General features: G+C 35.0%; 1 protein-coding gene across 2 annotated transcripts in view; it reads left to right on the plus strand.

The window, feature by feature from the left end:
• VPS13B (vacuolar protein sorting 13 homolog B) overlaps positions 1-25,311 on the plus strand; it is an 864,307-nt gene that overhangs the window by 489,461 nt on the left and 349,535 nt on the right. The window contains exons 27-30 of one of the 2 annotated variants that reach the window (NM_152564.5): positions 102-216; positions 4,403-4,469; positions 8,370-8,778; positions 18,165-18,276. In NM_152564.5, the coding sequence (NP_689777.3) occupies positions 102-216; positions 4,403-4,469; positions 8,370-8,778; positions 18,165-18,276 (703 nt within the window). Of the gene's footprint in view, positions 1-101; positions 217-4,402; positions 4,470-5,035; positions 5,178-8,369; positions 8,779-18,164; positions 18,277-25,311 lie in introns of both variants that reach the window. The other variant, NM_017890.5, reaches the window with a different exon arrangement.

The following is a 25,311-nucleotide window of genomic DNA, read 5'->3' on the forward strand; positions in this document are numbered from 1 at the left end:
TACATATCCAGCATGCATTTGTCAATGTGAAATGTAAAATAGAAAGTTTTAATATTAATTGTGAAGACTGTGTTGATATTACTGCTTGTTTCTTATTGCAGAGGTTTGTATGGTCAGTGAACTAGAAGATCTCAGTGCTTCCATAGATGTCCAGGATGTATATACCAAAGTGAAATGTAAAATAGAGAGTTTCAATATTGATCACTATAGAAGCAGGTAAATAATGAATAATGAATATAAGAAAATCTGTATTTTTCTTTGAACAAAGTTACCATAAGACTTTTTCTATTTTAATTTGGCTGGTTATTAAAATAAATACTATACAGGCATACCTCGGACATATTGAGAGTTTGGCTCCAGACTATTCCAATAAAGTGAATATTTCAATAAAGGAAGTGACAGAAATTGTTTGGTTTCTCAGTGTATATAAAGTTGTGTTTACACTATACTGCAGTCTGTGAAGTGTACAATAGCATTATGTATTTTAAAATGTACATACCTTAATTTAAAAATACTTTATTGCTAAAATGTGCTAATGATCATCTGAGCATTCAATGAGTCATAATCTTGTTGCTGATGGAAGGTCTTGTCTTGATGTTGATGGCTGCTGACTGATCGGGGTGGTGGTTGCTGAAGGTTAGGGTAGCTGTGGCAATTTTTAAAAATAAGTCAATGATGTCATTTGCCACATGGATTGAATCTTTCTTTATGAAAGATTTCTCTGTAGCATGTGATGCTGTTTAGTGGCATTTTACCCACAACAGAACTTCTTTCAAAATTAGAGTCAGTCCTCTCAAACTTTGCTGCTGCTGTAAAAAATGAGATTATGGAATATTCTGAATCCTTTGTTGTCATTTCAACAATGTTCCCAGCATCTTCCCCAGGAGTATTTTGCATCTCCAGAAACCACTTTCTTTGCTCATTCATAAGAAGCAACTCCTCATCCATTCAAGTTTCATCATGAGATTATAGCAATTCAGCCCCATCTTTAGGCTCCACTCCTAATTCTTGGTCTCACATTGTTTTCACCACATCTACCATTACTTCCTCCAGTGAGGTCTTGAAACCCTGAAAGTCACCCATCGGGGCTGGAATCAACTTCTTACAAACATCTGTTAATGTTGATATTTTTACCTCCTCCCATGAATCATGAATGTTCTTAATGGTGTCTACAGTGGTGAATCTTTTACAGAAGGTGTTTCCATTTACTTTGCCTAGAACCTTCGGAAGAATCACTATCTGATACAGTTTGGATATATGTCCCTTCCAAATCTCATGTGGAAATGTGATCCCCAGTGTTGGAGGTTGGGCCTAGTGGGAGATATTTGGGTCATAGGGGAGGATCTCTCATGAATGGCTTGGTGCCTCCCCATGGTGACAAGTGAAGCTCTTGATTTCTTAGTTCATGCAAGAGCTGGTTATTTAAAAAGAGCATAGCATCTCCCTGCTCTCTCTTGCTTACTCTCTTACCATGTGACACACCTGTTCTGCTTTGCCTTCTTCCATGAGTAAAAGCTTCCCAAGGCCTCACCAGAAGCCAAGTAGATGATAGTGCCATGCTTGTACAGCCTGCAGAACCACGAGCCAAATAAACCTCTTTCCTTTATAAATTACCCAGTCTCAGGTATTCCTTTATAGCAATGCAAAATGGACTAACACACTGTAGCCTTACAGAATGTATTTCTTAAGTAATAAGTCTTGAAAGACAGAATTACTGCTTGATCCATGAGCTGAAGAGTGGATGTTAGCAGATGTGAAGACAACATTCATCTCCTTGTATATCTCCATTGGAACTCTTCAGTGACCAGGTGCATTGTCAATGAGCTACTGCTCATTTACAAAGGATTTTTTTTTTCTACACAAGCAGTCGTTCTCAACAAAGAGCTTAAAATATTCAGGAGACCATGCTGTAAACAGATGTGCTATCATCCAAGCTTAGTTGTTCCCATGTATAGAGCACAGGAGAAGAGTAGATTTAACAAAATTCTTAAGGGCCCTAGGATTTTCAGAATGGTAAATGAGCATTATCTTCAACTTCACCAGCTGCATTCACCTTTAACAAGAGAGTCAGCCTGTCCTTTGAAGCTTTAAACCCAGGCATTGACTTCTCCTCTCTAGCTATCAGTCTGAGATGGCATCTTCTTCCAAGAGAAGGCTGTTTTGTCTACACTGAAAATCTATTAGTGTAGCCACCTTCATCAGTGAACTGAGCTACATCTTTTGTATAACTTGCTGCCACTTATCCTTCAGCACTTGTTGCTTCATGTTGCACATTAATGTTATAGAGATGCCTTCTTTCCTTAAGCCTCCTGAACTAACTTCTGCTAGCTTCAAACTTAACTTCTGCAGCTTTCTTACTTCTCTCAATTTATAGAATTGAAGAGAGTTAGGGTCTTGCTCTGGATTTAACAGAATGGTGTGTCTGGTTTGATCCTCTACCCAGACCACTCAGACTTTCTGCCTATCAGCAATAAGGCTGTTTCACTTTCTTGTCATTTGCAAGTTCTCTGGAGCAGCACTTTCAATTTTCTTCAAGAACCTTCCTTTTCATTCACAACTTGGCACAAGAAGCTTTGTTTTCTGCCTATCTCAGCTTTTGATATGCCTTCCTCACTAAGCTTAATCATTTTTAGATTTTTATTTAAAGTGAGAGATTTGCAACTCTTCTTTCACTGGAACACTTAGGGGCCATTGTAGGGTTATTAATTGGCTTCATTTCAATATTGTTATGTTTCAGGGAATAGGAAGACCTGAGGTGAGGGAGAAAGATGGGAAATAGTGGGGTCAGTGGAGCAATCAGAAAACACACAGCAATGATCAATTAAGTTTGTGTCTTCAGGACATCACTGTTCATGATGTCCTGAAATAATTATGATAATGTCAAAAATCACTGATCACAGATCACCATAACAGATATAATAATAATGAAAAAGTTTGAAATATTATAAGAATTACCAATATGTGACACAGAGACTGGAAGTCAGCATATATTGTTGGAAAAAACGCTGCTGATGGATTTACTCAATGTAAGGCTGCCACAGACCTTCAATTTGGGTAAAACATAATATCTGCACTATGCAATAAAGCAAAGCCCATAAAACCGAGGTATGCCTGTACTTATTCTCAAAGAGGGTTCTTAACAGATACATTGATTAATTTTACTTAGTAATTGTTCATGTATGGAGTATAATAAAATTTTGTTTTATAAGATGACAAATCTGTTCATAAATATATACATTGCCATATTAAATGAAATAAGCTACTTTTACTAATAATCTTACATAATTTATTTTCTATATTTTATATTTGTTAAGATGCCTGCAACCCAGTTGATGGCTCTGATTTTTGCTGTATACGTCCCATCCATTCTCTATACCAATATAATCATTGGTATAGAGATATACAATACAATCATTGGTATAGAGATATAATCACTGAGATGGAGCAATAGCTCATTTCCTAAGCACTTTGATGACTCTCATCTCACAGATGATTATTATGTATATGGATATGATAATTATTTTTGTCATATTAAACAGTGACTTATTAATTGGCTTTTGATAATAGAATGTTCAACTCTTTAGTTCCTTTGAAATGGTATGTGTCTGTATCAAAATGATCTTTGCAAGTGATAATACAATATTTTGGCTGAAGTAATTTTTAATGTCATGAATATTACGTATTATGTTGTACTTTATCCCTGACTGTACCGCTAAATTTATATAAATTATAGATATTCAGATAATTTATTAATTTATTAAAAACATACATTTCTTGTGTATGTGGTATGCACCAAGTGCTATGCTAAATGAGTACTGGGGATGTAGTGTTTAAGAAAAATAGCCTGGCATGGTGGCTCACACCTGTGATCCCAGCACTTTGGGAGGCCAAGGCAGGGGGATTACTTGAGCCCAGGAGTTTGAGACCAGCTGGGACAAGATGGCAAGACCCCATCACCACATACACACAAAAAGGAGCTGGGCATGGTGGTGTATGCCTGTAGTTCCAGCTGCTGGGGAGGCTAAGGTGGGTGGATTGCTTGAGCCCAGGAGTTCAAGGTTACAGTGAGCTATGATTGTGCCATTGCACTCCAGCCTGGGCGACAGAGCAAGGCTCTATCTTTAAAAAAGAAAAATAGACATAGATGTTACTCTTATCGAGGAGATGGAAGTAAATAATCAGCCAAATAAATACATAATTTACCATGAAGACAAATGTTCTTATGCAGAACTGTCAGAGTGCGGTGCTAATGTAAATTGTTCTATTGATTGCATTGTCAGATTTATGTTTTAGTTCAGTGCAGTGTTGTGAACTTTAGACTTATTTGAAATAGTTATGTATGTTCAATTTCTTAACTCAGAAAAATTGAAGAGAACAGATAAGGTGAACTTATGTTTTCCAGGCCAGGGGAAGGTTGGCAGTCAGGACATTTTGAAGGAGTATTTCTACAATGCAAAGAAAAATCTGTGGTGAGACCCATTTAGTTACTATGATTTTTGAAAATGTACTTTAAACTGTTTATCTTGTTATTTCATAAAATAGGACTAATGGTTACAAGAATTTGAGTTCAGAATAAATTCTTATTAGCCTGTTTCTTCAAAATTACATATAAATTTAAAGCTATTTATTCTTTGAAACTGCTCCTGTTTTGTAACCATCTTCCTGTTATAACAATTAAGTAAATTTATCAAAGAGGCAAAGGTAGGCTTGCTTTTGTTAATATACTTTATCTTTAATGTACTATTGTGTTGACTTTTTGGAATTGTTTCCCAATTCTTATGTGAGTTTATGCTGGATTGTTCTTTACCATAAACTGGAAGTAGTAATTTTATACTAAAAGCAATTATTTTTTGTTTACTTTCATTAACATTGCTTTTGCAGAAGATGGTCCAGGCAGAGGCCATACCTAGCGGTTGCTCAAACCTAAATTTATACAAACTTGAGGAGAATTTAAAACTATCCAGATATTTTTTTGCTTATGGCTTTTATTGCTTTTTGTCTTTTCACCTTCTTTGCTCCTGTCCATCACTTCAAGCCTTGGGGAAGAGTGTTGGTCTTTGGGGCAATGTGGAGGTGTCTTCCTTTCCTGTACTGACAAGCTGAACAGACGCACCTTGTTGGTTCGACCCATCAGCAAGCAGGACCCTTTCAGTAATTGCTCTGGCTTCTTTCCTTCTGTAAGAAATTACTTTAAATTATGCTACACAACTCCCATTAACAGGAACCCAGAGAAGGAATTGAATGATTCATAGAGTCAACTCTTGATTTGTGTTTTCCTCCATATCATAAACTTTATAAATGAAGTATAATGTAATTTAAAATCATAAAACTGCTTTTCCACTAAAACCTGTTTCTGGGTCACTTGCATGAGTACAGACTAATTTTACCTCAATATAAGGAAATCAAAGTAGGACATTCATTATATTTTTTTAAATTGTGCATGTATTGAATGATCAAGAGTTGACCAATACTGCTTTTGTCATTCCTCTTACGATTCTTAATAAGATTGCCTTTAAAAATTTTTTTTCTATTATTATGCCATTGTTTTCTTACAACTAATTCAAAGTAACTTGTGTGGTACCTTCTTGAATCTGAACAAGTTTGCATTTCTGTCATTGATTAGGTAGATGAACACAAGGCTGTATCAGTGACTTTTAGACGTTTAGAACCTTGACTTTTTTAATGGTACAACATCTGGATATGTTCTTAAGCTAATTCTTTTAACTGATATTCTTAAAGTTAACTTTGTTCTTAAATTTAATTTTTAATAGTGTATTTGCATAGCAAGTGTTATGTTCTGATTTTATTTTGAGCTTTTACTAGCAATAGTCTTTAATCTTTAGTGCAGGAAAAAAATGTGACTTTTGTGTTGGAGGAAGTGTTTAGATTTATTTTCCTCTCTTTGAATGTTCATTAGTGTCTGTGAAAAACATTCTTAATAATTTTAACAAATATTCATAAAGAAACCGTAAATTTATCGTTAATGTTCTTCAGAAATTTTTTCTAAATTTATAAATTAAATGCCATTTAAAAAGTTTCTTTACTTAGTGTTTTTTAACATTTTATTTTAAATAGTATAAAGTATTATTACTGTATGAAAAAATGATATTTATATTACCTCAACTAGTATTCACTTTTTGCCTTATGTTAAGGGAGTTAAGGATGCAGCAATTAAAAAAAAAACACCCTTTCTTCATGTGGCTTACCTTTCAAGTATGCTTACATTCCACGTTTAAAATATTTTTCCAAATTAAAACATTTATACATTGAAATACCTTTTATACTCTTTACAGGATTCAAATGTTGCTATTAATAAAGATTTATTATGAGTTAGATTTTTTTAGATTAGTGGTCAGTAGTAACCCTCTCCCCAGTTTAGACACTTAGAACAGACAACATCACTGTGATCACTGTGGCCTCTTCCACTGGGGGTATACCTTAACAATCCTTCTCCATCTGTTATTGCTCATTGTCCAGCAACATGCTAATAAAACTGGTAGCACTTTTCTTGCTTTACTATACATCTTTTTGTTTTTGAGTGCAGAAATAAAAAAGAAGGGGAATCAAAAGAGAAACAGTGAAAATGTTGGGAACAGTGAAAAATGCTTTGAGAGCAGGCTATTATTGGGAAAGATGATTATACTGCACAACCATTTAATGCTTACTTTCCAGGGTTTTTTTAATGGTCAATTAAAAAATACAAAAATAATTTATTTTCTTATCTTCCTTCATTATAAAGTCTAAATTAAAAGCAAAATTAGCAGTGATAACTGAATTGCATATTTTTTCCTCTCACCATGTCAGTGGGTGATAGGCAACAAAATGAGAGGAAGAAAATGGAAGCAATTGAAATGTAGGAGTGATGGGATAATATAGCTCAGACTCATTACTGCTTTCCTATTTCTCTTTTTTTTCTGTTTATGTGAATATATTTTCTTCTTTTTGCTTTGTTCCAGTTCACTTCTCCTCTTAAAAATCTCCTCTTTGGACCCTACTAACTTTTTCAGGTGTTGGAAAGAGGGGCAGGGAATGTGGAATATAACAGTTCTCCTCTAATTCTATGCTGAGCAATTTCCAAAACAATATTTTATGTCTATTAATTGGTTGAGGAAGATTTTTTTCAAGTGACATTCTTTTTGTACGTTGAGGAATACAAAAGTATATGTTTTACTTTACTCTTTTAAAAGCATGCTGTTTTACTCTAACTTGTTTATAGTGTGCAATTTGGATAGGAGAGCTAATTGAGATAGTTTTAACAAAAATATTGAAGTTATGATAATTTTTTTACTCTGTTAAATGTTATATGTGTACTAATATAGTAGTATACCCAAAGATTATGATTTACAGGATAGTGATAATTAGATTTTATAAAAAATGCGTTAGCTATTGATAATAGGCAAGTTCTGAAAGACAAATGTTATATTGTTACATCACATTACTGTTTAAATATGCAGTAACTGTTTATTTAGTTCAGTTATCAAAGCATGGTATCGATGAGGCTTCTTTTGTAGGCTCTGTCTTTGTATAAATTAGCCAAATTATTGAAGGAAAAACTCCATTTTCACAAATGTTATATCCTATCTAGTGAAGGTAATCATCTGGCCTATTCAGATTTGGTCTCAAATAAAAATATGTAATGTGGTTATTTCAATTTCACCTGAGTAAACAACCCTTCTGTGACCTGTGATACTTTTTATGACAGCCTCTTAGTACTCATAATGAAAAATTATCACGAAATGAAAAGATAAAATCAAGATAGTCTTTTCCAACCTATGTTTTTTTGTTTGAGACAGAGCCTCACTTTGTTGCCCAGGTTGGAGAGCCGTGGCTCAATCTCGGCTCACTGCAGCCTCTGCCTCCCGGGTTGAAGCGATTCTTGTGCCTCAGCCTCCCAAGCAACTGGGATTATAGGCATGTACTACCATGCCACCACATCTGGCTAATTTTTTGTATTTTGAGTAGAGACGGGATTTCACCATGTTGGCCAGGCTGGTCTCAAACTCCTGGCCTCAAGTTATCTGCCCACCTTAGCCTCCCAAAGTGTTGGGATTACAGGCATGAGCTACCCCAGCCTCAAATTCTTAATGTTACAGAAAATGCAGAAGTCACAGAAATAGCCACAAAAAGATTAATAACCTCCCTCAAGATCTAGAACTGGAACTCAGGATTCCCATCTTTAGTTCAGTCATTCTAACCATCTTAGAAGCTTTTTGCCCACATCTGCAGAATTGATCAGTCATGTGTTTATTAAGAAGTGTAGGGTAAGACCAAGAGGTAAAAATACTCACTGAGGTCATTTTCTTCTTTCCAATTTTTAAAAAAAATCTTTTTAATGAACTGTGTATTGTGATTTCCTTTTTTTGGAACAGACAACTACAAAACTTCTAGATGGCACTCATCAGCAGCATGGATTCCTCTCTCTGACATACACAAAAGCTGTAACAAAAAATGTCCGCCACAAGTTAACATCAAGAAATGAGCGAAGAAGTTTTCATAAGTTATCTGAAGGCCTAATGGATGGTTCTCCTCATTTTCTTCATGAAATTCTTCTTTCAGCACAAGCTTTTGATATTGTTCTTTATTTTCCTTTACTTAATGCCATTGCAAGTATATTTCAAGCAAAACTACCAAAGACCCAAAAAGAGAAAAGAAAATCTCCTGGTCAGCCCATGAGGACCCATACACTGACATCCCGCAATTTACCTTTGATTTATGTCAACACAAGTGTAATCAGAATTTTTATTCCAAAAACAGAAGAAATGCAGCCAACTGTTGAAGGTATTGTCTTCTGATTTTTTTTGTCTGATTTTAAATAATTTTCTTCTAGAGACCTTAGTTTTCTGGGTTTTTTTGTTTCTTTTAAAAAATATGAGCAGTTGGTTGTGCTTTGTGGTTTGGTATATTTTATAGAGAGGAAATATAGATATTCTACAAATCATTAGGAAATACATCAGAATACTATGTAACTATCTGACTTCGTTAGTAGGATAAGAAATTGAGGAAATTTTTTCTTCAGGGCTTTTGCCAGTAAAGCATATATATACTTTGTGTTAATTGTTTTACTAAACTCAAATGTTGTGTTCTGTGTATCTAAGAGAACTAAAATTTTTTTTAAAAACAAGGTCAAGCACAGTGGCTCACATCTGTAATCCTAACACTTTGGGAAGCCAAGATAGGAGGACCACTGGAGCCCAGGAGTTTCAGACCAGCCTGGGCAACATAGTGAGACCCCATCTGTACAGAAATAAGATATTAGCCCAACATGGTGGTGCACACCTGTAGCCCCAGCTTCTTAGCATATCATTTTTGTAATAAAATATTTGTATACGAACCTTATAGTGCTTAATTACCAAGCTAGAACTAAATTCAATGTATTATACTTAACAGATTCTTAATACAAGCCAGTTTCTACTTTTTATGTCTAACTTTTCTTAGAAGCTATCTTAAAATTAATTACTTTGAGATGTGAAATTACTATTCTCTGAATATCCTATATTCTGACAGTGGTATACAGTTGCTTTCATCTGTTCAGATAGTTTGTAGAAACACATGAATGGTTAAGAATAAAGAGTTAGTCTTTATTTACCAATTACAAGTGATAAACAACTCGCTAACCAGAAAAGTAAGAAGCAGTATATTCATTGCAAAGGTAATGACCTTTATGCTTTTTCCTTATTATATAGGAGCACCTAATGAAATTTTAGAGAATGTAATTTACATTAAGTTTACATAGGTTAGAAAACAGAAATCTACGTTTTTATACAGATAATTCCCTGAGGACTGTAGTTTCAGTTATAATAACATTTTTCCACAACCTTGGAAGAGACACAGACATAAAAGATTGGGGAGATTGTCAAACTGTTTTTGGCATTACAACTGAGAATGGGAGGAAAACACCATGGAAACAAAAGTAGATTGTCTTTATTACACAAAATTTATCAGTGTTTTGGGAGAAGAATTTGGGGTAGGTCATTACATTTAATAAAGACCATGGGCTGGGCACGGTGGCTCACGCCTGTAATCCCAACACTTTGGGAGGCCGAGTCGGGCAGATCATGAGGTCAGGAGTTTGAGACCAGCCTGGCCAACATGGTGAAACCCCAGCTCTACTAAAAATACAAAAAATTAGCCAGGCGTGGTGGCACGTGCCTGTAATCCCAGCTACTTGGGAGGCTGAGGTGGGATAATTGCTTGAACCCAGGAGGTGTAGGTTGCAGTGAGCCAAGATAGTGCCATTGCACTCCAGCTTGGGTGACAGAGCAAGACGCCATCTCAAGTGGGAAAAAAAAAAAAAAAACCATAATGTTGCAGTATCTGTAACTATTTTATTAAAATAAAATTACAGAAGTTTTATATCTAGATAAAAATAAGAATAAAGTTTTATACTATATAATATAAAAAATTCTAGGTATAGTTTTTATACAAGGATATTGTTTTCCACAAATACCTCTCTGATTGTTATAAAACATTCATTTTTCTAACTTGAGTTCCTGTATTTCATTTAAAATATGTTAGTAGGCTTTTATGATTTCCTGAATATTTCCTGAAGTGTTTGTTTTATGTTCCCCATTCCTTAATTGTAAAATTATTTTCAGTTTAATGCAAACAATTAGGAAGGCCAAAATTTCATTGAAACATAAGAAAAAATGTGATATTAGAGGTGAGAGGGTGGGATGAGGTATAGAAAAATACAGGGAGAATCTCTATGAAAAAAGCTGAGGAAATAGTGAGAGGCTATAGAGACAGAAAAGGAAGTAAAGCAACTTATCTAATTGGTAGACTTTTTTACTAATAAAGAAATGTTGACGATTTATAAATGATTCTCAAATTTTATGATGTAATTGTGTCTGAATAATAATTGTATAATGGACACTAAATTTAGTCATTTATCACATATTATTCCCTACACTGTTTTAATTTAGGGTTTCCTTCTTGAAAACCCATTTCACACCACAAAATATCAATTTCAGTAACAAATTTAAATTTTAGAAGACGAACCAAATGTGTATGATTCATTGCCTATTTATTAAGTTTTAAAACTTGACCAAGAATATGATACAATATCAGTGTGTTGTTTTTTTCTGCATCTTTGGCAGCCAGGCTGAGACTTTTAAAATGGGTATCTAATAATGTATACACTGGTAAATCTTTCTGAGTCAGACATAGCGGCTCCTCAATGTGGGCATTTGATCTGTATTCAAAATTTGCTCATTTGTCTTAAAATATCTTATCTATCTGATGTCCTGAAAGCTTCTGAAAGTCTTTGGTATTTGTTAGTGAGGAATATTTTCACAATAAATTGCTTTTTCATTGCAATTAGATCTTCATTGCAGAGCTTCTTTGACTCAAATTTTTGTGGCAATACCTGTGAGAGAAACCTACATGACTGACTTGTTTTCACCATCCATGTCAGTGTTCGTCATAGCCCTTAGGTGTTCTTCACTGGATAGGTCTTATTTATAGTGATAAATGTTTCCTTCTAAGGCAAAATTTGCCTATAAATGTAAATAGTTTTCATTGTTAATTTGGAAACCTTGTTTTTTCTCTTTTTTATTGTGGTAAAATATATATAACAAATTTTCTACTTTAATCATTTTAAGTATATAATTCAGTGGCAATAATTACATTCATAATGTTGTGCAACCATCACCACTATTTCCAAATGTATTTGTCACCCCAAACAAAAGCTCTGTAGCCATTAAGTAATAGCTACCTTCATCTTCTGGTAACCTCTAATCTATTTTCTGTCTGTATGAATTTTACTACTCTAGAAATTTCATGTAAGTGGAATCATACAATGTTTATCCTTTTGTGTCTGTCTTACTTTACTTAGCATAATGTTTTCAAGGCTCATCCAAGTTGCTGCATGTATCAGAACTTCATTCCTTGCTATAGCTGAATAATATTGTTTTGTATGGATATACCACATTTTGTTTATTAATTAATCTGTTGGGCAGTTGGGTCATTTCCACCCTTTTTTGGTTTAATGTGAGTAATGCTGCTATGAACACTGGCATGGAAGTTTCTGTTAGAGGCCCTGTTTTCAGTTTTTTTGGGGTGTACACCTAAGAGTGGAATTTTTAGGTCCCGTGGTAATTCTGTTTGGAATTCTGTTTTTGAGGAACCACCAAACTTCTTGGAAGCCCTTGTGGATTAGAGCACGATTTGTGGTATTTTCTGAACAATGCCAATGTGCAGGCATAGTTCAGTCAACAAGAAGAGCAAAGGGAGCTCACGCTTAGCATAGCAGCACCTGTGTGCCGAGCACCTGAGCAGCTCTGTGGTGAGGCAGAGGTCTGAAGTTCATTGTTTAACTCTAGCTTTATTTTCTGTGATACTTACCAATGGTTTATTGAAACAAGTTATGTTTCACTGATATGTTTGTGACAAAAAGATTACAAATCAGGCTATTTAAGAAAGAAGAGGAAAAAAAAGAACAACTTTATTTTCTGTGGGGCTTTTTTAGTTTGTTTATATGTTTTTGTTTTGGGCTTATTGTGTTATAAACATTAATACTACATATCACACAGTTTTATTGTTTCCCATTGAGTTGCTTCAACTAGGAAAATCCCTCAACTAATTGTAATTGCAGAAATATTTCCAGACTTCTGCCATCTTATTTTTAAAGCTGCTGCTGCTGCTGCTGCTGCTGCTGCTGCTTCTGCTTCCTCCTCCTCCTCCTCCTCCTCCTCCTGCTGCTGCTGCTGCTGCTTTTTCTTCTTTTTTTGGTGGTGGCTGTGGTGGGTTTTTAACATATAATTTCAGAATTCAGGTGCCTAGGTACTTCCTAAGGTCACCTTGAATAAGAGTATGTGAGATTGGGGAAGGTTTTTATAGTTGTCTTTGGAAAACATAATTTCTTTTGTTTTTCTGTGGACTTTAAGTGGAATCCTTTGCAAATATGCATATTTTTAGCAACAAACAACTTTTTAGTGGTGTTTTTTTTTGTGGCTTGGATGTATGTATCTGTAGAATAAATTACCAGCAAAAGGATTGCTAGGTCAAAGGATTCCATACCTTTAAAATAGTAAGCGATGTCTAATTGCCTTCCTAAATGGCTGCTATTTCTTACTCTTACCCTAACAGAAGTTTATTTTTAGCCTTTTGTACAAAGGTCTCATTAGTGAAAAGTACGCTACTTTTTAAGGAGTTGCTTATCTTTTCCTTATTAATTAATACATTTTTTGTGTATTAATCCTTCTGTCTGGCATATGTATTGCTCATATCTTTACTTTTTTGTGTTCAGCCTTTGCATCTCTGTATCTGTGCATGTATCTGTATCTTTACTTATAATTGTACTTGCATCTCTATCTGAGGTGTTATAAATAGCCAGACTGTGTGCCTAAGCTAAGAATGCAAATACAAAAATGCATGCCAAAGTTTCAGATTTTGACACATTATGTTAGTATTTTTTATACTTTATCTTTCTTCTTTGCTACTCTTAATTTAAATAATCATAATTCACCCATGAAAAGGTCAGAAAACAAATTTTTATTGAGGTAAAATTCATATAACAAATTCACCATTTTAAAGTGTAGATAATTCTTACATTATATTTTATATGGGAGATTGGATGTGTCCATTTAATACATGTTAAAAGCTATAATGTGGACTGTGGAAATCATGATTGAAGGAGCAATTTCATTAGAAATAAATGTCATTAATGACTCTAGTAAGTTGGAGTCAAGAGTATACTATTCATTTTATTTTAGAAAGCCTTTACAAGAAAGTTTGAATAAGATGATTATCAGATTAATTAAATTAAAAATGTAGGCCAGGCATGGTGGCTCATGCCTGTAATACCAGCACTTTGGGAGGCCAAAGCAGGCATATAGCTTGAGCCTAGGAGTTTGAGACTAGCCTGGGCTACATGGCGAAACCCCATCCTACAAAAAATACACAAATTTTCTGGGCATGGTGGCCCGGGCTTGTAGTCCCAGCTACTCAGGAGGCTGAGGTGGGAGAATTAATTGAGTCCAGGAGGTCAGGGCTTCAGTGAGTTGTGGTCACACCACCAAACTCCAGCCTGGGTGACAGGAGGAGACCGTGTCTCAAAAAAAAAAAAAAAAAAAAAAAAAAAAAAAGTATATGTAAGTTGTTTTAATAAGTGTGAAAGAATAACTAAATCTTGCTACATCATACTTTTCAGCAGAAACTTTATTATAAAAATATCACAGAGCAATCTGTGCTTGTCACAGAGTAAGTAATCTGTGTCAAAGATGAGTGGTAAACCAAATGCAACTAAACTTTCTATTAATATGCATAATGGTCATTGATTATATGTTTATTGAAACGTTTGTCTTCAACTGCCAGTATGGCAATAACTGATTAAAAACTTTTGTTGAAAGCTGTCACAACAGTTTTGGCTTTATGAAAGCATAACATTAAACAGTGGCAACTTCAAATACTCTTGAGACTTCAGATGTTTTACTAAATTGAGTTTATTTTGAGAATCTTAAAGGAAAGTTGAAGTCTCCAAAACACTTTTATTCAGGTTGGAATTAAGAAAAGTTTGTTGTAAGCAACATTCTTATATTATCTGACAGTTGCATGAAAATTCTGGTCTTTATTCAAGCTATTGGTTACTGATACAAACTCCTGATTTCAGAGTTGTTTATAGCCTTTTCATATGCCATACACAAATGTACATTCATGCATCTGTACACACACGTATACACACTCTCTTGCCCCAAGAAAAGATGAAATCTTTCAGGCTTATAATATACGCTACATTAATGTAAGACTCTTTAATCATATCTAAATTTCAGTTAATGATAAAAAAATTGAACATTCTACTATTTTATTTAGAAAAATGATATTGAAAGTCTGCTTTTCAACCTGGATATTATTTACATTATGTGCAGTTACTATCAGGATTCTAAATCTACAAGTCTTTGACTTCCAGCTTAATCTTTTTATTTCACAATAGATGACTTTTAAAAATCTAGCATGTCTAGAATGAGTAGTTCCTCATGAGGCTCAATTTTAAAAAATAGAGTTAAAGCAAGGAAGGAAGGCATTCATTTTCATGTTGAAAATATTTCTAGAAGGAACATTTCCTCATATGGTCCAACTATTAAATACAGGTGAAATAACCCAAAAAAGAGAAGCTGATTTTTTTTTGCGGTGATAAAGTAACTGAAGAAATGACTCAAGGCACTTTCATGTATAAATACATATTTTTATTATTTTTTTTTACATCTCGGTGATATATTTTGATAAGTTGAATACTTTCTATAATAAAATTAATTATTTTAATCTAGTTTATGAATGATCTGCATTAAGTGCTCTTTTTTTTAATTATAACTTCATAGTCAGTATAATCTACTGAGAACACTTTTGGCCCTAACAGAAACAGAATTCTGTTCTTGGATCTGGCTTTGTATGTAACACCAAGTACGTCATTTCTCCTCCATATTTACCTCATTTACTGCAATGTTTCTATTACATTTCAGACTTTCATATGGTGAGTAGTATCTGTAGCCTGGAAGAACAGTTAGCAAATATACTAATTGCACCTTTGTGGTACGGTTTATTCTCCAGGCTTACTACGTAATTGAGGACTGCTGCTTAATCAGAGGTTTTACCCACATGGAACTATTTGATAAGGTTGGCATAAAATGCAAGACCTGTAAAATGTAAACAATGTTCATATTATAAGGACCCATAATCAAACCAAACCTCTAAGTCATTTGAAAATAGTGCAGCTGCATGAGAAGTAGTTTTCTATTTGATCTTTTGCTATGGATGTAAAAATACTGTCTTTACTGTGACATCCGTATGCTAATATTTGTTATGATAGTTCATCTCTTTTTTTCTCCTTTTGCTGTCCCTTCTCCCACCTTCCTACTATTTTGCCTTTCCCTCCTCCCTTCATGGTTATCTTATTCTGGTTCCTTATTTCTCTCACTGAATATCTTATTCTTCTTATGTTTTTCTGATTTTCTTAATTCTGACGTTCTTTCCTTGGACTAATCTGAATTAGACCATACCAAGTATGTGAAAATATACTGAAATATACTGAATATACTGAAAACAATACACTGAAATAATATACTGGAAATACAGCTGGAAATAATCTCGTAGCTTTTGCATTCTTTGGGCACCACAGTTTGGGAAATATGGATTGTATGCCTTTGTAGGCAGGTTCTGTTCAGGATATTTCTTAGGTCTTGCAGCCAGTCATTTTCTGTTCTATTTTTGGCAGATGGTAGTTCCTTGAGAGAAATTATAAGTTTTAATATACGTTTATTTTAAGACCTAGAAAGTTGTATATTGTTAACATTTTTTAAACAGGGTTTATACAGCTACTATAGTAGAATCATCTGTTGGAGAATAGAGAGTAAAATGTAAATGTATTTTTTTCATGTGTCTGTTGGCTGCATAAATGTCTTCTTTTGAGAAGTGTCTGTTCATATCCTTCACCCACTTTTTGATGGGGTTGTTTTTTTCTTGTAAATTTGTTTGAGTTCTTCATCACTGGCCATCAGAGAAATGCAAATCAAAACTGCAATGAGATACCATCTCACACCAGTTAGAATGGTGATCATTAAAAAGTCAGGAAACAACAGGTGCTGGAGAGGATGTGGAGAAATAGGAACACTTTTACACTGTTGGCGGGACTGTAAACTAGTTCTACCATTGTGGAAGTCAGTGTGGCAATTCCTCAGGGATCTAGAACTAGAAATACCATTTGACCCAGCCGTCCCATTACTGGGGATGTACCCAAAGGATTATAAATTATGCTGCTATAAAGACACATGCACATGTATGTTTGTTGCGGCACTATTCACAATAGCAAAGACTTGGAACCAACCCAAATGTCCATCATTGATAGACTGGATTAAGAAAATGTGACACATATATACCATGGAAGACTATGCAGCCATAAAAAATGATGAGTTCACGTCCTTTGTAGGGACATGGATGAAGCTGGAAACCATCATTCTCAGCAAACTATCGCAAGACAAAAAACCAAACACCACATGTTCTCACTCGTAGGTGGGAATTGAACAATGAGAACACATGGACACAGGAAGGGGAACATCATACACCGGGGCCTGTTGTGGGGTGGGGGGAGGGTGGATGGATAGCATTAGGAGATATACCTAATGTAAATGACAAGTTAATGGGTGCAGCACATCAACATGGCACATGTATACATATGTAACAAACCTGCATGTTGTGCACATGTACCCTAGAACTTAAAGTATAATAAAAAAATGTAAATGTAATGAATGGGGCCATTAATTTCCCCTTTCATGCCAAATAGTCCTTAGAAAAGACATTGAATTCACTGTTGAGTTGTGGAAAAAGTGCTGAACTTCAGCCCTAAATGAGAGCATACAGTCAAATATCATTTTATTTAGTACAAAAAAGAGAATTAGAACTGATACATCCTTTTACCTTTTTTTGTTTTCTGGGATTATTTATCATAGTTTTAGACGTCATTAGGAGGTAGAACTTTTAAAGGGGTCTGGGGTTCCAATTTCTAAAGCAATTTTACAGTAGAAGTTATTAAAATTAAAAAGTATCTAGAATAACAGGTTGATATGTTCTCCCATATTGAATAGTTGGTGTTTTCCATCTTCAACATTGCAGCCATCATATTTCTTTTGAATTTTCTGACATTTTGGAGCTTAAAGTGATATACTTTGTGTGTGTGTGTGTGTGTGTGTGTGTGTGTGTGTGTGTGTTGTATTTAATTATTATTTAGCATGTAAATTTAAATTGCTTTGAGAATTTGTCACTGACTTTGTAATATCCTTCAATATATTTGTAGACAACAATGAAGTATTAAGAACCCAAAGCTGAAAAGCATTTAGGAGAAATATGCAGATTGTGAAGTTAGATAAACATTTGGCTTCAATATTACTTATATATATTTAATATCATAATTTTTAATGTTGGGAGTGGAGTTGTTTTTCTTTTCTTTGCTATTTTAATTGTGTATTTTAACAGGAAACCACTTAATGGGTATTAACAGAGTTAAGAAAAGCATCAAAGATTTTTATTTTAAACATGATTTTTTTTCATTTTACTTTTTCTTATTTATTGGTCTTATCTTAATGTGTCTCTATTCCATTCCCTCAAAGATTTCTCCTTATGCATAAAGTTATGTACAGATCCACAGTGTATTCATGAATCTCCTTCTTTTGTTACAGCTAATCAGGCAGCAAAAGAAGACACTGTGGTTTTGAAGATTGGCTCTGTTGCCATGGCTCCCCAGGCTGACAATCCCCTTGGCAGATCTGTCCTTAGGAAAGATATTTACCAGTAAGTTTATTTTCTTATGTCCAATCTTGCAACAATTTTCATCCTGCAAACACATATAGTGGTCAATAACTTAGTGTGGCCTGTAGAAATATTTCTCATTCAGGATCTTTTGATATTTAAAACCAGGTTTTTCTGATTTTCTTCAGTTGTGGGTTTTTTAATTCATTCAGACAAATCAAGTATTTCTGTGAAGTGTTGATGAATAACAGAATGTAAGTACTAAGTCACCATAAAACTGAAGAAGCATAGTTTGGAAAATTTTAGCAGATGTCAAATTTGACCAAATCTCTAATCACATAAGAAAACGAGGTCCTCTGTAGAACCACCACATCCTACTGTAGTCATGTTGTATCAAAGTGAAACATTTTATTAATTTAAGTGTAAGCTATTATTTGAAATGTAGGAATGTGGATGTCATATGGATCAAAGCTATAAAGAAAAGCAAACTTCTAAAGAGAAATTTCACAGTAAACACTTTCTGTGAAAATGCTATGCTCTGGATTTTGTCACTGAGTATTTGCAAACCACACCAAGCATACATGGACAACTAAACTGGTGAACATATGTAATCAACATGATAAAAATAATATATGATTCATACTGAAGTTGGCACTGCTGCCAGACAGAAAAGTACAGTTGCAAATAATACCAAGTGAGAAAAGTCACAGAAATACAGATGAACAAGTGATTTATTCTTCTTGCTGGTCTGTTTTTCAGATGTTGTAGTCTCACTCTTCTAAAAAATAAATTCCTACTGTTCTCCAGTAAATGTTACTGCTAGGAAAAGATTCTAATTTTGGTGATTCATTTACCATCTAGAGGGTGATGGCTATTTTTACTTTAAATAGATCTAGGAACTTTATTTCTCATATTTCTCTGATATTTGAGTTATAATTTCTTCCTTTGACTTATGTATGTATGATCTCTTCCTTGTATTTTTTTTAGGTATTTAATAGTATTCACCCCTTAAATAAGTTTTTATGCAGCTAGCTTATATATAATCTTAGGATTTCAGAGCAGAAAGCGTCTTTAGGAATTATCTAACTCAACTTCCCTGTTTTACAGATTAGGAAACTGAATAACCAAAAGAATACTGTAGTTGTCCCTGGTGAAAGAGTAACAGAGCCAAGATTATAATTCATATCTTTTGACTCCCTTAGGATCTAGGGAAATGATTATAATAGAACATAAATTCTATATGAGAATACTTTAATTTTCTAACATTTGGAAATTCTTTCAGGTGTCTTTATCTTTTCTACTTCAGAAGTAAGTGGTCCTAAAATAGAGACCTACTTTACTTTTGGTGAAAGAAATCTAGGTTATATTAAGAGATCCTATCACCATCAGTAAAGTGAACCACTGAGATAATTCCTTTCCTTCTGTACCCTTTCCGCTTTCTGGCTTTTGCATGAGTTGTATTTTTACTTTCTGGGAACAATTGTGTGAAATTGTTTTTTTAGGGTTTCCTTCTGTCTGTCTTGCAACTTTTTTTCAGTCATCTTTACTGGTCTTCCTCTTAAACAATCTCTTTGCTATTAGTATTTCTTAGGGTCTTCCTTTTATTCTTTTTTTTTGCCCAACTCTTCTTGGGTGAGGCTCTCTGCTCTTTTGGCTCAGGACAACTTGAATTCTAAGCATGTAGGGTAACTTGGGGTGACCCTGTAGACCAAGGTTAGCAATATGTGTTAGAATGTCAAATGTAAAATTCTAGATGCTGGATGGCAAACTCAACCTAATAATTTTTCTTTGAAAGCTCACATTCAAGTCATTTCTACATAAACAAACTAACAAAAGGTATTCATATAAGAGTTTATCAAAAATGTATCAAGATCTCAGTGAAATGCTGTATCATCGATATCAAAGGAGTAACAGCAGAATTAGAAACCACTTTTGAGTGAATGATCAGAGTGGGAGTAGCTCAGTATAATAAATGTATACACAAAGCAAAAGACCCTGCATACTAGGGCTGATTTTATTATTCCTATGATTTTGTTAACCATGAAATCTCAGTGAACTAGATGCAAAAGTCCACATATTATGTGATTCCATTTATTTGAAACGTCCAGAATAGACAAACTCAGAGAGACAGAAAGTATATTAGTGGTTGCCAGGGCCTGCTTGTGGAAAGGGGAGGGAAGAGTGGGAAAGGACTTTGTCTTGCGGCTTGGGTGCCAGCTCATCCTCAATAGAACAGAGCACCAAGTAGATTCCTAAGGTTTCTGACTCCAGGCCCTGGCTCCTGGACAGCATCTCTGGATGCATTTGGGAGCCGGGGAACTCACCACTCTGAAGGGAAGGACACAAGCCTGGTTGGCTTTTCTATCTGCTGATTGCTGAGCCCTAGGGCCTTGAGTGAACACAGGCCATAGCCAGGCAGTGGTTACCACGGGCATTGGGTGGGACCCAGTGCTGTGCTGGCTTCAAGTCTGACCCAGCGCAGTCCCAATGGTGGTGGCAGCCACAGTGCTTGTGTCACACACACACCCACACCCCTTCCACAGCTCCAGACAGCTCAGCACAGGCTGTGTTTGTTTGGGAGAAAGTAAGGGAAGAGAGCAAGAGTCTTTGCCTGGTAATTCAGACAATTCTTCGGGATCTTATCCAAGACTACCAAGGTGGCACCTGTACAAGTCTGCAAGAGCCACAGTGTTACTGGGCTTGGGTTACTCCCTAATGCAGATATGGCGGCAATGACCAAAAACTTAGATCACAACACCCAAGCTTCTTCAAATAACTGGAATTCTTTCCCTAGAAAAATGGGTACAAACAAGCCCAGACCACAAAAGCTACAGTAAATACTTAACTCTTAAATGCCCAGACATCGATGAACATTCATAAGCATCAAAACCATTGAGGAAAACATGAGCTCACCAAACAAACTAAATAAGGCACCAGGGACCAATCCTGGATAGACAGAGATATGTGACCTTTCAGACAGAGAATTCAAAATAACCATTTTGAGGAAATTGAAAGAAATTCAAAATAATAGAGAAGGAATTCAGAATTGTATCAGATAAATTTAACGAAGAGATTGAAATCATTTAAAAGAATCAAGTAGAAATTCAGGAGCTGAAAAATACAATTAACATACTGAATGCATCAGAGTCTCTTAACAGCAAAATTGATCAAGCAGAAGAAAGAATTAGTAAGCTTGAAGACAGACTATTTGAAAATACACAATCAGAGGAGACAAAAGAAAGAATGAAGTACACCTACAAGGTCTATAAAATGGCCTGAAAAGGGCATAGCTAAGAGTTATTGGCCTTAAAGACAGGCAGAGAGAGTGATAGGAGTAGAAAGTTCATTCAAAGGGTTATAATAGCAAAGAACTTCTTAAACCTAGAGAAAGATATCAATTCAAGTACAAGGTTGTAGAATACAAAGCAGATATAACCCAAGGAAGACTACCTCAAGGCATTTAATCATCAAACTCCCAAAGGTCAAGGATAAAAAAGGATCCTAAAAGAAGCAAGCAAAAGAAACAAATAACATACAATGGAGCCAGGTACAGTGGCTTGTGCCTGGGATCCCAACCCTTTGGAAAGCTTTACGTGGGAGGATTGCTTGAGCCCGGGAGTTCGAGACCAGCATAGGCAACATGATGAGACTTCGTCTCTATAAAAAAACTTAAAACTTAGTCAGGTGTGGTGGCACACGCCTGTAGTCCCACTGTTCTGCAATCTGAGATGGAAGAATCACTTGAGCACAGGAGGTTGAGGCTGTAGTGAGCTGTGGTTATACCCCCACGCTCCAGCCTGGGGGACAGAGAGAGACCCTATCTCCAAAAACAAACAAAAACCATACAACTGAGCTCCAGTATGTCTGGCAGCAGACTTTTCAGTGGAAATCTTACAGTCCAGGAGTGACATGACATACTTAAAGTGCTGAAGGAAAAACAGTTGTACCCTAGAATTGTATACGCAGTGAGAATATCCTTCATACATGTTGTAGCAGAAATGAAGGTTTTCTCAAACAAAAGCTAAAGGATTTCATCAACATGAGACCTGTCCTACAAGAAATGCTAAAGGTAGTTCTTCAATCTGAAAGAAAAAGACATTAATGAGCAATGAGAAATTATCTGAAGGTACAGAACTCACTGGTAATAGTAAGTACACAGAAAAACTCAGAATATTATAATACTATAATTGTGGTATGTGAACTACTCATATATTGAGTAGAGAGACTAAAAGATGAACTGATTAAAAATAATACTTAGACAGTACAATAAGATATAAATAGAAACAACAAAAAGTTAAAAAGCAGGAGGAGAAAGTTCAAGCACAGAGTTTTTATTTTCTCTTTGCCTGTTTGTTTGTTTATGCAATCAGTGTTGTCATAAGTTTAAAATAATGGTGTATATTAAATTTGAAAAACAGAAAACTCCTAGGGCACATGGTACTATTCTTTGAATACGTAGCTGATAATGTGTCATAGGGAGTAGTTCATTCCTTCCAAAGCTAAGAACAGACCTAGGATCATTAAATCAGTGGATGTTACAATGACCCTAATTGCAGCTCAATAGAATGAAAATCTTTCAAATTATAAAAGCCTAATAATAAATGGGGCTTTTTGTTCTTACTCATTTAACAATTATTTTGAGGGAGGCTACTGTACATCAGGCACTATTCTAGATACTGGGTGTATGTCAGTTTACAAAAGAAAGAAAAATCCCTGCTCTCACAGAACTTACATTCTAATGGGAGAGAGAATTACAAGCTAATAAATAAATCATATGGTATACTAGAATTTAATAAGTGACATGGAGACAACAAAGCTGGGAAGGGAAAAAGAAATGGAGAGTTAGAGATGGACAGCATGGCTTAGTTAGAAGACACCTCACTGAGAAAGTGCAGGGATCCTGAAGCAGGAAGAAGTAAGAGAAGCCAGTGGTGGCTGGAGCATTGGGTGCCAGGGGAATTTAGCAGGCTGTGAGGAAAACGACATTATGGAAGATCCATATAGGTCGTTGTGTGGACTTTGGCTATTAGTTTGAGTGAGACATGGTTGTGGGGGAAGAATTATCCACACATGCAGAATTTTGAAATATGTAATGCTTTTATTATTTACTAAATGTCTGCCTGCAGAAAGAAATGGGGGGGTGGGGATGGGGATCACCAGCAGGGACTAGAGATATACATTTAAAAAGAGGTTAAATATACGTTTGAAAATAAAGGGAGTCACAATTAAGAACAAATGGAAGTGTGACATTCAACCCTAAAAGAATCATGTTAAGAATTATTAATATTTTTGCTACTTGAGTTAACTGAATATATGATATGAATTTCTTTTGCTTATTGAGTAGTTGATTTTGTCATCAAATGGAAAGGCCTCAGAGGGTTTGAGCAGAGAAGTGACGTGATTCTTTTTATACTTAAGCAGATTACTCAGGCAAGGAAAGGCAAGGGAAAGGGAAAAGCTATTGCTGTAATCTTGGAAAAAGATAGTGGCGGCTTGGGCAAAGTTAGTAGCTGTGGAGGTGGTGAGAAGTGGTCAGATTCTGGAGATGTTTGAGAGGTAGAGCCAAGAGAATTTGCACATGGGGTTTGAGAAAAAGGATACAAAGATAATTCAGTTATATATGGCCTAAACAACTAGGAGGATGAAAATAACTGAAGAAGGAAAACCGTAGGAAGATTTGTTTTGGAGGATTGGGTGGGTGGAGATTAGGAATTTATTTTTGAAAATGTTGACTATCTCAGGAGTTAATGAGCTCCCCATTTCTGATGTAGCAGAGGCTAATCAGCCACATACAAGGCTTAAGAGGGGTAATGATTTATGTCAAATTAAACCAGTGATTCCTAAATTTACTGTGTTTCCAAATCACCCAAGGATCTTGATAAAATGTGGATTTTGACTTATGAGGTCTTGTTTGAGGCCTAAAATTTTACATATCTTCTAGGCTTCTGGGTGATTGGGTGTGATACTGTTACTGTGTTATACTGATATGCCACTTCAGAGGCTACACCCTTTGTAGGAGATGATTAAATCCATTTTTTTTACAAACCTTTTAAACGGAGATCATTTAAAAAATATATTTTTAATGAATGTTAACAATTTTTAATGCTAAAAATCAAAACACTATGAAAGGTTCTGTGAGAAACATTAAATATCCTCCATTCTCAGTCTTTCCCACTCTGTATCCGAGTTTGCTCTCGGTGGATTCTTTTTATAGCAACAAAATTTTTGTAAACTTTTAGTTGATAGTGGTTAACTTTTGGAATCTGTGACTGAGAAAATGTAAAATAATAAAACACTTCTGTTAACTAACACCTTATATGAATTTGTACTTTGTTACTCTCAAAAGCATCTGATCCAGTAGAAAACAACAGAACATACATAACATGTTATTTATTCAGTCACTGTGCAATGCGTAGCCCAGGTATGTATTGTCATTGGCCCTCCCTTAACCCTTTACCTTCTTTACTTGCCTCCTCCTTGCCTGATAATCTACCTGGTTTATAACTGCCAGCTCCTGGATAGGATGATCTCTGTTTCCTTTAAACTCAATCTGAGATTCTCCTATTCTGTGATGTGTTCAACCATATCCCTGATTTATACCATAGTCCTGAAGCACTGTCTGACCTGAAGTTGTTTCTTTATCTTACACAACCCCTTCTCCTGAGAAATTTTTCAGGTCCTTGTCTCAAGCCAAAAGAGAAGCAAGAAACAGTTAAGTAAGATGTTATAAAGGCAGATTTTTAAAAATTACCTGTGGTGAAAGTGTTTTTTCATAGGCTGATTAGAGATTATAAACAAACGAGATGAAAATATTTAAATATGTTTATAGCTTAAGCATATTAATAATTTAATAAATTGTCTGATCCAAGTGAAGTGATGTTTACAACTAATTGATCATGACCAGTTACAGATTTCTTCATTTCTTCTCCAATTCCACTGCTTCACTTGACTAGCCTTAAAAAAAAAAGTTAATAAACATAGTTACACTTCTCTTATATAAATGACATATATTTCTTAGAAGCTTTATGTTGTGCAATATGCTGGTGTATCCTCTATACCTTATTAACTATAGTTTGT

This window comes from Homo sapiens, chromosome 8, assembly GCF_000001405.40.
Source record: "Homo sapiens chromosome 8, GRCh38.p14 Primary Assembly".
Taxonomy (NCBI): domain Eukaryota; kingdom Metazoa; phylum Chordata; class Mammalia; order Primates; family Hominidae; genus Homo; species Homo sapiens.